A 15,818-nucleotide genomic window follows, 5' to 3' on the forward strand; every position below is an offset into this window, starting at 1 on the left:
AAAATGAAAAAAAGAAAGAGATGGGGCAAGCAGGGGAGAGGGCTGGGGACACAGGGGAGGGTGCTGGGGATGCAGGGGAGGGTGCTGGGGACACAGGAGGGTGCTGGGGATGCGGGGGAGGGTGCTGGGGACACGGGAGGGGCTGGGGACATGGGAGGGGCTAGGGATGCAAGCTTTCCTGAGTTCCCACAGTTCTCTGCCCCTCTCCTGTCTCACGGGGTGTGGGCCACCTGTGGCTTGCGGTTGTTTCGCGCCAAGCTAATATCTTGTTCTTCCCAACAGAGAGGCCCGTTGAGGCTTCTCTGTCCTCCATGGGGAACAGCATTGGCCTAAACCTGCAGACACCATTGCAAAGGGAAGTCAGCTCAGGCAAACCCGCTGGTGAAGAAGAATTCCAGTGTGGGGACACAGAGACTGACATTTCTTGCCATGGGTGATTTAATTTTGGGCCTCAGTTTTTCATTCCCCCCTAAGAGTATGACGCAGCCGCATCCTTGCCAGGGCCGGAGGGAGGGTGGATGGACTTATAGGTGTTGCTTGTGGCTGGGTGACTTGCTTCTGCCAACGAGATTTTCACAGACACGGCACAAGCAGAAGCCTGGAATGTGTGGCACTGCCAGGCCTGCCCTCTTAGGCTCTTGATTTTCCCCACGAGATATGCGTGCCCCAGGGAACGGCGGCTCTGGCTGTGGAATGAGAGGCGTGTGGAGCAGGCATGGTTCCCACCCTCAGCCTAGAGTCAAGGCCAGACTAGATCAGCCTAAGCCCAGCCACGCCACGGGTGCAGCAGTGAAGAGCAAATGCCAACTGTCCATGACAGTGACTTTCAAAGGGGCGTGTCATGTGCCTCATCCCAGCAACAGGGAAGGCATTTCTCTATCAGTCAGTTGGTAAATGATTATTGACAATGTGTGGGAAGGTGGAGTTATTTGAGTAGATTTGGCCTCTATTCTCATGGAGCTTCCTTTCTAGAGGGGAAGGCAGATGATGGATGAATAAATATAAATGATTCTAATAGGTTGGTGCAGCAGTCATTAAAAGTAATGGCAAAAAAAAAAAAAAAAAAAAAAACGAGGAGCCGGTGCTGCAGTTCATTAATAGTAATGGCAAAAACTGCGATGACTTGTGCGCCAACCTAACCCAGTAATCACGGGTGTGCAAAATGTGGCGATGGGCAAGTTCCGAGTGCTAGGAGAGCATCTAGCTTCCCGGAGTCAGGAGACGGGGGTTGGCAACCTAACCAAGGTTAAGTCCAAGGGAGGGGGGTGGGCAGGGAGCGATATTTCAGTGGAGACTCCAAGGACGAATGGTATTTAGAGAGTAAACCCCGATAGAGAGGGTTTGTGTCTGGCACAGAGAAGAGCCTGTGCAAAAGCCAGCGGGGCGAGAGGACACCATGTGTTCATCCACCTGAGGGGCGACCAGCAGGCTGGAGCTCAGCGGGTTGAGAGGAGGATGCAGAGCCCGGGAAAGGCACCCTAGGCAGAGGGCACAGCAGGGCAAAGGCCTGGAGTCAGGCCTGAGCCTGTGTGGTTTGAGGAACGGATAGAGGCCTGTCCGGCAGGAAGGGAACAGCACAGGGGAGAGACCTTAGGCCAGAGCAGAGGGCAGGGCTGTGCTGGGCACTGTGGGCTGTGGATGGTGCTGGCATTTAAGAGGGGAGACCATAGACCAGGGCAGAGGGCAGGGCTGTGCCGGGCACTGTGGGCTGTGGATGGTGCTGGAATTTAAGAGGGGAGACCATAGACCGAAGTAGAGGGCAGGGCTGTGCTGGGCACTGTGGGCTGTGGATGGGAGCTGGCATTTAAGAGGGGAGACCATAAGCCAGGGCAGAGGGGTGGGGAGGGCTGGGCCAGGCACCAGAGTGGAGACCACAGGCCAGGGCAGAGGGCAGGGCTGTGAGGGCACTGTAGGCTGTGGATGGGAGCTGGCATTTAAGAGGGGAGTCCATAGACCAGGGCAGAGGGCAGGGCTGTGAGGGCACTGTAGGCTGTGGATGGGAGCTGGCATTTAAGAGGGGAGTCCATAGACCAGGGCAGAGGGCAGGGCCGTGCTGGGCACTTTGGGCTGTGGATGGGAGCTGGCATTTAAGAGGGGAGACCATAGACCAGGGTAGAGGGCAGGGCCGTGCTGGGCACTTTGGGCTGTGGATGGGAGCTGGCATTTATGCTCAAGTGATGGGAATATGTTAAAAGATTTTAAGGAGGGGAGTAACAGTTGGGATTAATGTGTATTCTGGGAATCTCAACAAAGTAAATTCATAGTTCGAATTTTCATAAGACTTCTGCACAGGCAGAGAGAAATAAGATCGCATCTACAGCTGTGTGGTGATTTTCTTTAAAAATACTACTAAGTTTTTAAACGTGATTTCAAATGGTGTGTTTCTGTTTCACATTGGACATAAGTAGATTGCAAGGCTAATGGAAAGTAGAAAAGTTAACTCATGAACATAAAAGAGACATCGATTTGAAAACAAAACATTTATTCATTTACTTCTGCTGCAGTTTTCTTGACTGCTGAATTTCGTAAGAAGGGATTGGTCAGGGAGGGTCTTGGGGCTGAAGACCTGGAGAGGAGCTGGTGCTATCGCTGTTCAAATCTGAAGGTGGTGGAGATGGAGCCTTGGGGAGGAGCCGGTGCTGCCTTTTAAGTCTATGAGAGTCGTTGAGCTGGAGGTCCAGGGAAGAGCTGGTGCTGCCACTGATGTCTTAGGTTGTGGAGCTGAAGACAGTGAAGGAGCTGGTTTGGCTGTTCTGTGAGGGTCGTGGAGCTGGAGATCCAGGTGGGAGAGGTGTTCTAGTTTGAGGGTCATGCAGATGGAGATCTGTGAGGAGCTGATGTTATTTTAATTGGTGGGTCGTAGAGCTGGAGACCAGGGAGGAACTGGTGTGGTTCTAGTTTGAGGGTTGTGGAGCTGGAGACACAGGGAGGAGCTGAGGTTCTAGTTTGATGGTTGTGCAGCTGAAGACTCGGGGAGGGGCTGAGGTTCTAGTTTGAGGGCCCTACAGCTGGAGATCCGGAGAGGAGCTGATGTTTTAGATTGAGGGTCGTGCAGCTGGAGAACCAGACAGGAGCTGATGTTATAGATTGAGCATTGTGCAGCTGAAGACTCGGGGATGAGCTGATGTTGTTCGCTTTGAGGGTCTTTCAGCTGAAGACTCGGGGAGGAGCTGATGTTCTAGATTGAGGGTCATGCAGCTAAAGACTTGGGGAGGAGCTGATCTTCTAGTTTGAGGGTCATGCAGCTGAAGACTCGGGGAGGAGCTGATATTCTAGTTTGAGGGCCCTGCAGCTGGAGATACAGATAGGAGCTGATGTTGTAGTTTGAGGGTCTTGCAGTTGAAGATTCAGGGAGGAACTGCTCATGTAGTTTGAGGGTCATGGAACTGGAAACCCAGAGAGGAGCTGATCTTATAGATTGAGGGTTCTGCAGCTGAAGACTCGGGGAGCAGCTGAGGTTCTAACTTGAGGAACCTACAGCTGGAGACCTGGAGAGGAGCTGATGTTCTAATTTAAGGGTGGTGCAGCGGAAAAATCGGGGGGGGGGGAGCTGATGTTGTTCGCGTTGAGGGTCTTTCAGCTGGAGACTCGGGGAGGAGCTGATGTTCTAGATTGAGGGTCATGGAGTTGGAGGCCTGGAGAGGAGCTGATGTTGTAGTTTGAGCATCTTGCCAGCTGCAAACCCGGAGAGAAGCTGATGTAGTTTGAGGGTCTTGCAGCTGCAGACCCAGAGAGGAACTGATGTTCTAGATTGAGGATCATGCAGCTGAAGACTCTGGGAGGAGCTGATGTTCTAACTTGAGGGTCATGCAGCTGAAGACTCGGGGAGGAGCTGATGTTCTAGTTTGAGGGTCTTGCAGCTGCAGACCTGGAGAGGAGCTGATGTTCTAGATTGAGGGTCGCACAGCTGAAGACTTGGGGAGTAGCTGATGTTGTTTGCATTGAGTCTTTCAGTTGGAGACTCAGGGAGGAGCTGATGTTCTAGATTTAGGGTCATGGAACTGGAGACCTGGAGAGAAGCTGATGTTCTAGTTTGAGGGTCTTGCTGCTGCAGACCCGGAGAGGAGCTGATGTTCTAGTTTGAGGATCTTGCAGCTGCAGACGTGGAGAAGAGCTGATCTTCTAGTTTGAGGGTCGTGCAGCTGAAGTCTCGGGGATGAGCTGAGGTTCTAGTTTGAGGGTCGTGCAGCAGAAGACTCGGGGAGGAGCTGAGGTTCTAGTTTGAGGGTCGTGCACCTGGAGAACTGGACAGGAGCTGATGTTCTAGATTGAGCATCGTACAGCTGAAGACTTGGGGAGGAGCTTATGTTGTTCACTTTGAGGGTCTTTCAGCTGGAGACTCAGGCAGGAGCTGATGTTCTAGTTTGAGGATCTCGTAGCTGCAGAATCAGAGAGGAGCTGATGTTCTAGATTGAGGATCTTGTAGCTACAGACCCATAGAGGAGCTGATGATCTAGATTCAGGGTCATGCAGCTGAAGACTCGGGGAGGAGCTGATGTTGTAGTTTGAGGGTCATGCAGCTGAAGACTTGGTGAGGAGCTTATGTTGTTCACTTTGAGGGTCTTTCAGCTGGAGACTCAGGCAGGAGCTGATGTTCTAGATTGAGGATCATGGAGGTGAAAACCCGGAGAGGAGCTGATGTTCTAGTTTGAATGTCTTGCAGCTGCAGACCCAGAGAGGAGCTGATGTTCTAGTTTGAGGATCTTGTAGCTGCAGACCCAGAGAGGAGCTGATGTTCTAGATTGAGGATCTTGTAGCTACAGACCCGTAGAGGAGCTGATGTTCTAGATTGAGGGTCATGCAGCTGAAGACTCGGGGAGGAGCTGATGTTCTAGTTTGAGGGTCGTGCAGCTGAAGACTCGGGAAGGAGCTGATGTTCTAGATTGAGGGTCATGCAGCTGAAGACTCGGAGAGGAGCTGATGTTCTAGTTTGAGGGTTGTGCAGCTGAAGCCTCAGGGAGGAGCTGATGTTCTAGTTTGAGGGCCCTACAGCTGGAGAACTGGAGAGGAGCTGATGTTCTAGTTTGAGTGTCTTGCAGCTGCAGACCCATAGAAAAGCTAATGTTCAGTTTGAAGGTCTTGCAGCTGCAGACCCGGAGAGGAGCTGATGTTCTAGATTTTGAGGGTCCTGCAGCTGAAGACTCGGGGAGGAGCTGATGTTCTAGTTTGAGGGTCATGCAGCTGAAGAGCCAGGGAGGAGCTGATGTTCTAGCTTGAGGGACCTACAGCTGAAGACTTGGAGAGAAGCTGATGTTCTAGTTTAAGGGTGTTGCAGCTGAAGACTCGGGGTGGAGCTTATGTTGTTTGCATTGAAAGTCTTTCAGCTGGATGTTCAGGGAGGAGCTGATGTTCTAGATTGAGGGTCTTGGAGCTGGAGACCTAGAGAGGAGCTGATGTTCTAATTTGAGTATCTTGCAGCTGCAGGCCTGGAGAGGAGCTGATGTAGTTTGAAGGTCTTGCAGCTGCAGACCGGGAGAGGAGCTGATGTTCTGGATTGAGGATCTTGCAGCTGAAGACTCGGGGAGGAGCTGATGTTCTAAGTTGAGGGTCTTGCAACTGAAGACTTGAGGAGGAGCTGATGTTCTAGCTTGAGGGTCGTTCAGCTGAAGACTCGGGGAGGAGCTGTTCTGGTTTGAGGGTCGCGTAGCTGAATACTCCAGGAGGAGCTGATGTTCCAATTTGAGGGTCATGCAGCTGGAGATCTGGCAGGAGCTGATGTTCCAGTTTGAGGGCCGGGTAGCTGATGTAACAGTTTGAAGGTCATGCAACTGGAGACCTGTGCGGGGGAGAAGATGTTCCAGTTTGAGGGCCATGCAGTTTGAGACCCAGCGGGAAGCTGATGTTCCGGTATGAGGGCCATGAAGCTAGAGACCTGGTTGGGAGGTGATGTTCCAGGTTGAGGACCGTGCAGCTGGAGACCGGGCGGGAGCTGATGTTCCAGTTTGAGGTCCATGCAGCTGGAGACCCAGGAGGGAGCTGATGTTCCAGTTTCAGGGCCGTGCAGCTGGAGACACCGCGGGGAGCTCATGTTCCAGTTTGAGGGCCGGGGAGCTGATGTACCAGTTTGAGGGCCATACAACTGGAGACCCGGGGGGGAGAAGATATTCCAGTTTCAGGGCCGTGCAGCTGGAGACCCCGCGGGAAGCTGATGTTCCAGTCTGAGGGTCTTGCAGCTGGAGACCCGGGGAGGAATATCAAACTCGAACATCTGCTCCCCACAGTGTCTCCAGCTGCACAGCTCTCAAACTGGAACATCGGTTCCCATCCGGGTCTCCAGCTGCACAGCCCTCAAACTGCAACATCGGCTACCCCCGAGTCTCCAGCTGCAAGACCCTCAGACTGGAACATCAGCTCCCCACCAGGTCTCCAGCTGCACAGCCCTTAACCTGGAACAGTTTGAACCTGGTGGGGGAGCTGATGTTGCAATTGGAGGGCCGTGCAGCTGGAGACCCAGAGGGGAGCAGACGTTCTAGTTTTAGGGCCGTGAAGCTGTAGACTCAGGAGGAAGCTGATGTTCCAGTTTGAGAGCTGTGCAGCTGGAGACCCGGGGGGGAACTGATGCTGCAGTTTGAGGGCCATGCAGCTGGATACCCGGCTGGGAGCTGATGTTGCAGTTTGAGGGCTGTGCGCCTGGAGCCCTGGGGCGGAGCTGATATTCCAGTTTGAGGGCCGTGCAGCTGGAGACCTGATGGGAGCCGATGTTCCAGTTTGAGGGCCATGCAGCTGGAGACCCGGCGGGGAGCTCATATTCCAGTTTGCAGGCCGTGCAGCTGGAGACCTGGTGGGGAGCTGATGTTCCAGTTTGAGGGCCGTGCAACTGGAGACCCGGCAGGGAGCTGATGTTCCAGTTTGAGGGCCCTGCAGCTGGAGACCCATGGGGATCTGATGTTCCAGTTTCAGGTTGGTGCAGCTGGCGACCCGGGTGGGAGCTGATGTTCTAGTTTGAGGGCCGTGCAGCTGGCGACCCGGGGGCGGGCTGATGTTCCAGTTTGAAGGCCGTGCATTTGGAAACCCTGGGGTGAGCTGAATTTCCAGTTTGAGAGATGTGCAGATGGAGACCCAGTGGGGGAGCTGATGTTCCAGTTTGAGGGCCCAGAAGCTGATGTTCCAGTTTGAGGGCCCAGGAGCTGATGTTCCAGTTTAAGGCTGTGCAGCTGGAGACCCAGGGGTGAGCTGATGTTCTACTTTGAGGGCTGTGCAGCTTGAGACCCGGCGGGTAGCTGATGTTCCAGTTTGAGGGCCGTGCAGCTGGAGACCCAGGTGGGAGCTGTTGTTCTAGTTTTAGGGCCATGCAGCTGGAGACCCGGGGAGTGGGGGGAGCTGATGGTGCAGTTTGAGGGCCATGCAGCTGAGGACCCAGGGGGGAGCTGATGTTCTCCTTTGAGTGCTGTGCAGCTGGAGACCCGGGGGGAGTTGATGTTCCGTTTGAGGGCCGTGCAGCTGGAGACCCAGGTGGGAGCTGATGTTCCGGTTTGAGGGTGGTGCAGCTGGCGACCTGGGCGGGAGCTGATGTTCTAGTTTGAGGACTGTGCAGCTGGAGACCCAGCGGGGAGCTGATGTTGCAGTTTGAGGGCCATGCAGCTGGAGACCCATGGGGGAGCTGATGTTGTTTTGAGAGCCGTGCAGCTGGAGATCCGGGGGTGAGCTGATGTTCCCGTTTGAGGGCTGTGCAGCTGGAGGCCTAGCGAGGAGCTAATGTTCCTGTTTGAGGTCCTTGCAGCTGGAGACCTGGGGAGGAGCTGATGTTCTTGTTTGAGGGCCTTCCAGCCGGAGACCCGGGGATGTGCTGATGTTCCCATTTGAGAGCTGTGCAGCTGGAGACCCGTGGGGGAGCTGATGTTCCCTTTAGAGGACCGTGCCACTGGAGAGCCTGCGGGGATCTGATGTTCCAGTTTCAGGGCCATGCATCTTGAGACTCGGGGAGGTACTGATGTTCCCGTTGGAGAGCCGTGCAGCTGGAGACCTGGGGAGGAGCTGATGTTCCCGTTTGAGGGCCGTGCAGGTGGAGACCTGGGGAGGAGCTGATGTTGTTCTAGTTTGTGTGTTGTGCAGCTGCAGATCCAGGGATGAGATGGTCCTGCGGTTCAAATATGAGGGTCCCGGAGCTGGAGTCTATGTGAGGAGCCAATGCTGCCTCTGATGTCTTAGGTTGTGGAGCTGGAAACTCGCGGAGGAGTCGGTATTAGTGTTTCTAGTTGAGGGTTGTGGATCTGGAGATACAGTGGGGAGCAGTGTTCTAGTTTGTGGGTCGTGGAGCTGGAGACCCAGGGAGGAGCTGGTGTGTTTCTAGTTGAGGGTCATGGAGCTGGAGACCCACGGAGGAGCTGGTATGTTCTAGTTGAGGGTCGTGGAGCTGGAGATCTGGGGAAGAGCTGGTGCTGCGGTTCAAGTCTGAGGGTCTCAGAGCTGGAGCGCCCGGGAGGAGTAGGTACTGCCACTGATGTCTTAGGTTTTGGAGCTGGAGACCTGTGGACAAGCCAGGCTGGTGTTCTAGTTTGAGGTTCCTGGAGCTGGAATCCTGGTCAGGAGCCAGTGATGCTGTTTAAGTCTGAAGTTCGTGGAGCTAAACACGGAGCCGATGTTAGGGAAGTAGAGAGAGAGAGTTTCAGGACGCCACTTGAAACTGTACATGTAGCTGAATCCCAAGCAAGTTAAGCCTGGGAGCTTCTCAGTCCTCGGGATCAATGCATTCCTTTTTCTCTTACACAGTTTGGATTTGTTTTCTGTCTAATGAGACAGAAAGACCCTGATTAATACCCTCAGGAATTGAAAAGCTTAAAAAAAACTAAATGATATTGGTATAATAATAATAGAAATTAAGCTATGATTATCCTGACAGACAAAATCACACACCACACACAATATACATCTTTTCAATCAGTTAGTCAAATAAAATATAAATTGAAAAATAGACCCATGCAAAGCTATAAAAAGTTACTTTTTTTCTTCATGTTCAAAAATATTTAATTCACTTCAAAATGTCATACAAATTATGGTGGTTTCTATGCACCCCTAAAGCTTCAGTCATTTAGCTCAGGTACATATTAAAGTAATATATTAATTCTTCCAGTACAATGGTGTTTCATACCATTGACACTTGCATACTCTAGAATAATTTGGAAAGACGTGTAATATTCGCAATGTTCAGAAAAGCAAGCAAAAGTTCAAGGAACCTGCTTGGTTCTGAGATGGCCTCATATCAGCTTCATAAACATTCATTCTACAAAATAGTAAGCTAACATTTGAACACAATTTCCAAAAATAAAGAATATTTTCTCATAAATAATGAAGTCTGTTTCTCAGGCACCTCAGAAGTATACAAAAGAATTTGAGTTTGAACAGATCTCTTGGAATGTGTTTAACCTGGTATTTCAACAGACTTAAGATTTCTAGGGTTTCACAAAGGCCAGATTTTATTTCAGTTACTCAGAAGAGAAAGAAAATGTCTTCTGAAAGAGGTGAACTCAATCACTACCAATAGAAAAAGTATCCACTGTATTCATCTCTTATGGAAACAGAAAAATATAACATTTCCCCCCTTAAAATAATATATATATTATATATATATATATATATACACATATGTATATATAACTTAAAGTTCCATTGTACGTAGCCGGACAATAAAATCTGGAAACCAGCATGAAACCCTGTTATTCACATGTTAAAATGTTGAAACTATGACCAAAATGTGAAAACTGCTAGAGCTATCAGAAAGAGACAAGACAAAAACCTTCTTTCATATGTATAAACTAAATGTGATAATCTCAAAAAACTTTTCAAAATTATGATTACCTTCCAGTTTAAAAACTTTAATCCTAAATTAAAAAAAAAAAATCTATACACAAACCACTGATTTGCCCAGACCAAAAGAAAGAAAGAAAGAAAGATCAGCGGTAAGGTAAACAGGACCCAGAGGAGCTGATATTCACAGTTCTTACGTGTACAACTCTTCCAGGAATTATCCATAAAGTACTTTATTGTTTTACAACCTGCTTTTCTTGTAAAACTAAACGTGGACTTTTTTACATAAAAGTTTTATACGGCGTTAAAACCAGAACTGTATGTAAAATACTGCATCTAAATGTTTCTAAATAGTCTTGTTCCATTGGTTCATCGGTGACTTCTGTGGCTTCGTCATCATTTTCCATGGATGATTCTGAAAGAATCTCTCCAGTTTTACTGGAATTAGATCCTACTAATTCTTCTGTTTCACGGCAGTCAGAAGAACCACTACTTTCAGGGCCTTCGTTTTCATTACCTTCGGAATGTAGTAAATCTTTCTCAGCTTGAGACACATCAGATTCCTCCATTTGATTATTTTCCTCAAAAGTCTCTTCATTCACAGTTGAGGCATCATCAGATTATTTTTCTTGATTTTTTCTTTCCGGGATCATTTCTCTTGATGTCATAAAAGACTCTAAAAATAAGCAAATGTTGTTGTACTTAAATTTTATTTTCAGAATACCTCCACAGTTAAGTTTCATGAATTCTGATGTTCTATAATTCAAATCACATTCCCTGAAATTCAGCAACAACTACATACAGGTGGGAGAAAAGCCCAATGTCGGCATTACAAGGAGTTCTATTATGTACAATTCTTTCACGAAAGCAATGAATACAAGAATTTGAGGATCTTCTTACTCCTCCCTTTTACAGATGGTCTCTCAATACCTTCTTCTTCCTCTTCATCCTCTTCTGTACGCGCTGCCGGGTACAACGGCTTTCTTTGTCTTTATCCTGAGATGAAGGTGATGCTTCTGTTTCTTCTACCATAACCGAAGAAATTTCGCTGCAAGTCGCTTGAATGGCTGTTTCTCTGACTTCGCCTTTTTTGTCAAACATGAGTCTTTTTACCTCATGCCCCTCAGCTTCCACAGCATCTTCATCTGGATGTTTATTTTTCAAAGGGCTCACTGAGCAAACTTCTGATTCAGATGTCGAAGAGTCACTGTGATTTTTCTCTTCATTTTGCTGCAAATTTACCTCTTTGCTGTCTGTGCTGTCAGGCGACCCATTTGTTGTCATGGGGGCTGACAAAGAAACCTTTGGTCGATTACGTGGTCTGGGTGTCCCAGGCCCATTTACATTAGACCTCTCAGGATAGCTTGGTGAATTTCCAGGAAACATAACACCATTCATTCGATTTAAACTATTGGAATTGTTTTTCTCTGAAGAAGGATAAACACAGCTAACAACCATCACATCCTTTTCTACTCCTCTGAGAAATTTGTCTGTTCCTGTATAGTTTCTCCTTGGATCTGTTAACAATTCACATAGTCGCTGAATAGTAAAAGGGATACTGTTAAATCCAGTGACAATTCTCAGTATTCTTTCCTTCATTTCATCAAAGGGAATATATTCGACATTAGGGTTGGGAGGACCTCTTGGCTCAGGAGCTGAAGTTCTGAAATCATCCATCACTTTCTCCAGTTTGAAAATAAAATAGCCTTTAAATTGGGACCACTGAATCTGTTTCTCCAGTCTTGGCTATATGACAAAGAAACTGATCCAGGACAGGACAAACTTCCTTTTTCCCCTCTTCTCAAAATCTTTCAGCGCCTCCTGGAGACTCTCAACGTCCATGGCTTCCTGGAGTCCCTCACAGCCTCCGCCTCCCTCCGCAGGTCTCTTGGGGACCGGAATGCCTCCCCCCACCCCCCGACGTCCTCCCACTCCCTCGCACACACTCCCGCATGCAGGCCAAGTTGGGTGGGGGGAACGAAGGGAGCCAGGGGAAGCATGTGAGAGAGTGAGACCAACAGAGCGAGCATCTCCCCAAGCCACTACCACCAACCCTCCAACATGGCGCCTGGCACGTCACCCTAAAAAGTTATTTCTTGGAGAAGCAATGGATGACAGAGATTAATCTGAGAGTTACTATTAGTGGAGAAACTTAGAACTTACCATTTTTCCTGTGAGGTTTCGGCGCTGATACTGCTATTCTGTGAGTTCTGGCAATTGAGTCCGTTCACACAGCCTGGTGATGCAGCAGGTGTCACAGAAGGACCCTGTCCCAGCTGGTCCTGCTCCACTGCTATGATGGTGTGGCCTCTGATCTCTGACCGTGTCTTGAGGGGAGACCAGGCCCTTGATCACAAGCGTATCCATGGTGAGGTTCCGTGGATGGAAGCTCATGAATGTTCCTTCCTGATGTTCATCTGCCACCTTGCTATTGAATGCATCTTGTTTATAACTGCCTTCTAAGTATTGAATAGAAATAAAGCATTTGTACAGGATGGGTAAGGTATAAAGAATATTGACACATTGGACACAGAGGACCTCCACCAAGTTTAGGGAGTAGAATCTCAAGAAACATAACTGTGGATGCTCCCTGGAGGCCCTGCCTGAGTCCCGGGTCCCTTCCCTTCTCCTGCAGAGGGAATCAGTTCCTGCTTTAGTCTTTATTATTCCCACACTTTTCTTCATAGTACGTTTCTTTCACCACGTATCTGCACATCCCTAAAAAATATGCCATTTAGTTTTTGAACTTTCTGTTTTCTTTTTGAGGCAGGGTCTTGCTCTGTTGCCTCGGCTGTAGTTTTGAACTTTGATGTAAGGAAGTTCTCCTGCGTGGCTGCTCCTGCCCTGCATGGCTCTGAGCATCTGCTCTGTCTATTTCTGTCCTCCATTCTCTCCCTGAGACCCACCCACACTGACATGGTTCATTTTCATTGCTGCGTGATCTCCCGTCTCCATTCTCTGCCTGAGACCCACCCACACTGACATGGTTCATTTTCATTGCTGCGTGATCTCCCATCTCCATTCTCTCCCTGAGACCCACCCACACTGACATGGCTCATTTTCATTGCTGCGTGATCTCCCGTCTCCATTCTCTCCCTGAGACCCACCCACACTGACGTGGCTCCTTTTCATTACTGCGTGATCTCCCGTCTCCATTCTCTCCCTGAGACCCACCCACACTGACATGGCTCATTTTCATTGCTGCGTGATCTCCCGTCTCCATTCTCTCCCTGAGACCCACCCACACTGACATGGTTCATTTTCATTGCTGCGTGATCTCCCATCGTCTGAGGGGAGCATGGGAAATGTCTTCCATCTTCCTGTGGATGAGTGTTTGGCCAGGTTGGGGCCCTGAGGACTGTGTTTTGTTGGGAACGTTCTTGGGCGTTTCTTTTGTACACAAGTGCAAGTTGCTTCTGGTCAGTAGCTTTCAAGTTTTAAAATTTCATCCCAGGTAAGAAATGTAACTTTCCTCATAACCCACAACATACTCTTTCATATACAAGCATAACAAAAATAGACTTCACAACCGTTCTTAGCAGGGCGTGGTGTTCCTGCTTCTCTCCATTCTCCCCAACACTGGCATGGATTGGGTTGTTGGTGGTGGGATTTTTGCCCATCTGGTGGGTGTCACGTGATATCTCCCACTGTTAGGCTGAGCCCCTCTTCATGTTTTCATTAGCCATTCCTCCACATTTCCTCTTCTGTGGAGGGCCAGTTCAGCTCTTTTCCCCAGTTTCTGTTAAGTTGTTTGAATTTTTGCACTTTTCTTTTATTATTCCTATTGTTATGTTTTTGAGACAGAGTCTCACTCTGTTGCCCAGGCTGGAATGCAGTGGTGTGATCTCAGCTCACTGCAACCTCCACCTTCTGGGTTCAAGTGATTCTCCTGCCTCAGCCTCCCAAGTAGCTGGGATTACAGGCGCCCGCCACCACCCCTGGCTAATTTTTGTATTTTTACTAGAGATGGGGTTTCACCATGTTGTCCAGACTGGTCTGAAACTCCTGACCTCAGGTGATTCTCCCACCTCAGCCTCCCAAAGTGCTGGGATTACAGGCATGAGCCACCATGCCTGGCCTGCCTTTTTCTTTTTCAAAAGGACTCTTTATACCTGTTCATTCCGGTGACTATCTGTATGGCAAAGATGGGTTTGAATCCACCAGGATAAATGTGCAGGATCTCCTCTCTGGTGGGAGAAGAGACAGAGAGGGATAGAAGGGTATGGAGAACAGAGCCGAGAGGAGGCCGAGTCAGGCAGGGGTGGCAGGCTGCTGTGAGGACTTGGCTCCGTCTCTGAGTCGGGTGGGGATTAGCAGAGGATTTAAACAGAGGAACCATGGGATCTCCCTTATGCATTTCTGCCATGGTTGGCTCAGCTGAACGCACCTCTTGAACAAGACTTGGCCTTGGACACCTAGAGGCCCTTGGTTGAGGGTTTACCTCCTGGCGTGGCCACTGACACATCCACGTTTGGCTCCCACACAGCTGGGCGGCCCCAAGACCTGCTCTGCCTGGGCTTCTCATTGGTGGCATTTCTCAAGTTTGTCCCCTCTCAAGTCTGCACCATCCGGAAAACCAAACACCTCTCTCTCCTACATGGAAACCCCCATCAGCACCTCCCCCTGACTCACAGGGCATCCCGTCAACATCACAGTCCCGACTTTCCCATATGGACAAGCCCACAGGACCCCCTGATGGACCAGGACAGCGCCAGCACTAAGACATGCCCTGAAACTCACAGGAAGACCTGATCAAGAAGACGGGAACAGCACAGGGCACTGGGAGCTGCAAACACCCACGATACTGTCAGAGATGGAGAAAGGTATGACAGGAAGAGCAGATCAAGAAGACGGGAACAGCACGAGGCACTGGGAGCTGCAAACGCCTGCGATAATGTCAGAGATGGAGAAAGGTATGACAGGAAGAGCAGATCAAGAAGACGGGAACAGCACGAGGCACTGGGAGCTGCAAACGCCCGCGATACTGTCAGAGATGGAGAAAGGTATGACAGGAAGAGCAGATCAAGAAGACGGGAACAGCACGAGGCACTGGGAGCTGCAAACGCCCGCGATACTGTCAGAGACGGAGAAAGGTATGACAGGAAGAGCAGATCAAGAAGACGGGAACAGCACGAGGCACTGGGAGCTGCAAACGCCCGCGATACTGTCAGAGACGGAGAAAGGTATGACAGGAAGAGCAGATCAAGAAGACGGGAACAGCACGAGGCACTGGGAGCTGCAAACGCCCGCGATACTGTCAGAGACGGAGAAAGGTATGACAGGAAGAGCAGATCAAGAAGACGGGAACAGCACGAGGCACTGGGAGCTGCAAACGCCCGCGATACTGTCAGAGACGGAGAAAGGTATGACAGGAAGAGCAGATCAAGAAGACGGGAACAGCACGAGGCACTGGGAGCTGCAAACGCCCGCGATACTGTCAGAGACGGAGAAAGGTATGACAGGAAGAGCAGATCAAGAAGACGGGAACAGCACGAGGCACTGGGAGCTGCAAACGCCCGCGATACTGTCAGAGACGGAGAAAGGTATGGCCATGGCTGACACAAAATGTTACTCAACATTTATCACAGGCCTAAATGGAGAACATAACGCTATAAAACCCTTAGATAAAAACACAGGAAAATTTGTATGGCCTGGGGTTGGGCGAAAAGTTCTTAGACATGACACCAAAAGCATGATTCATAAAAGATTGACAAATTAAATTGTCATAAATTTAAAATTATAATGCTATAAAGCAATATAAAAATCTAAAGAGAATGAAACACAAACCATGGTCTAGAAATAAACATTTGTGAATCACACGTCTCACAACGTACTGGCACGCAGGATATGTGAAGAACCATCAAAACTTAACCATAAGAAAGTAAAAGCCCCAGTATTAAAGAGAGGGCAGATATTGGAACAGAGGCCTCATCAAAGAAGGTATAAGGAGGGCATATTGCCCGAGAAAGAGGCTCAACGTCGTAGAGATGCTGGAGAAATGCCAGTCAACAGTACCTCTGCAAATCTATTAAAATGGCTAAAAACAGACAAAAACCACAGGCCGACCCAGGTTC

The 15,818-nt window shown here is 49.6% G+C and overlaps 1 protein-coding gene, 1 long non-coding RNA gene and 1 pseudogene across 7 annotated transcripts in view, besides 2 other annotated features; 2 read left to right on the forward strand and 1 right to left on the reverse strand.

Moving 5' to 3' along the window:
* PDCD6-AHRR (PDCD6-AHRR readthrough (NMD candidate)) overlaps nt 1-15,818 on the forward strand; it is a 166,640-nt gene that overhangs the window by 7,090 nt on the left and 143,732 nt on the right. The window lies entirely within an intron of this gene.
* Nucleotides 1-15,818, forward strand: part of PDCD6 (programmed cell death 6) — a 43,329-nt gene that overhangs the window by 7,090 nt on the left and 20,421 nt on the right. The window lies entirely within an intron of this gene.
* Nucleotides 138-638: an enhancer, noted in NCBI's record as "H3K4me1 hESC enhancer chr5:278988-279488 (GRCh37/hg19 assembly coordinates)". NCBI's record gives its function as "activates a minimal SCP1, AML or CMV promoter by ChIP-STARR-seq in naive H9 embryonic stem cells {active_cell/tissue: H9 hESC(naive)}" and the evidence as "EXISTENCE:reporter gene assay evidence [ECO:0000049][PMID:30033119]".
* Nucleotides 639-1,139: an enhancer, noted in NCBI's record as "H3K4me1 hESC enhancer chr5:279489-279989 (GRCh37/hg19 assembly coordinates)". NCBI's record gives its function as "activates a minimal SCP1, AML or CMV promoter by ChIP-STARR-seq in naive H9 embryonic stem cells {active_cell/tissue: H9 hESC(naive)}" and the evidence as "EXISTENCE:reporter gene assay evidence [ECO:0000049][PMID:30033119]".
* On the reverse strand, nt 9,658-11,813 carry PPP4R2P1 (PPP4R2 pseudogene 1; annotated as a pseudogene).

Source organism: Homo sapiens, chromosome 5, assembly GCF_000001405.40.
Source record: "Homo sapiens chromosome 5, GRCh38.p14 Primary Assembly".
Taxonomy (NCBI): domain Eukaryota; kingdom Metazoa; phylum Chordata; class Mammalia; order Primates; family Hominidae; genus Homo; species Homo sapiens.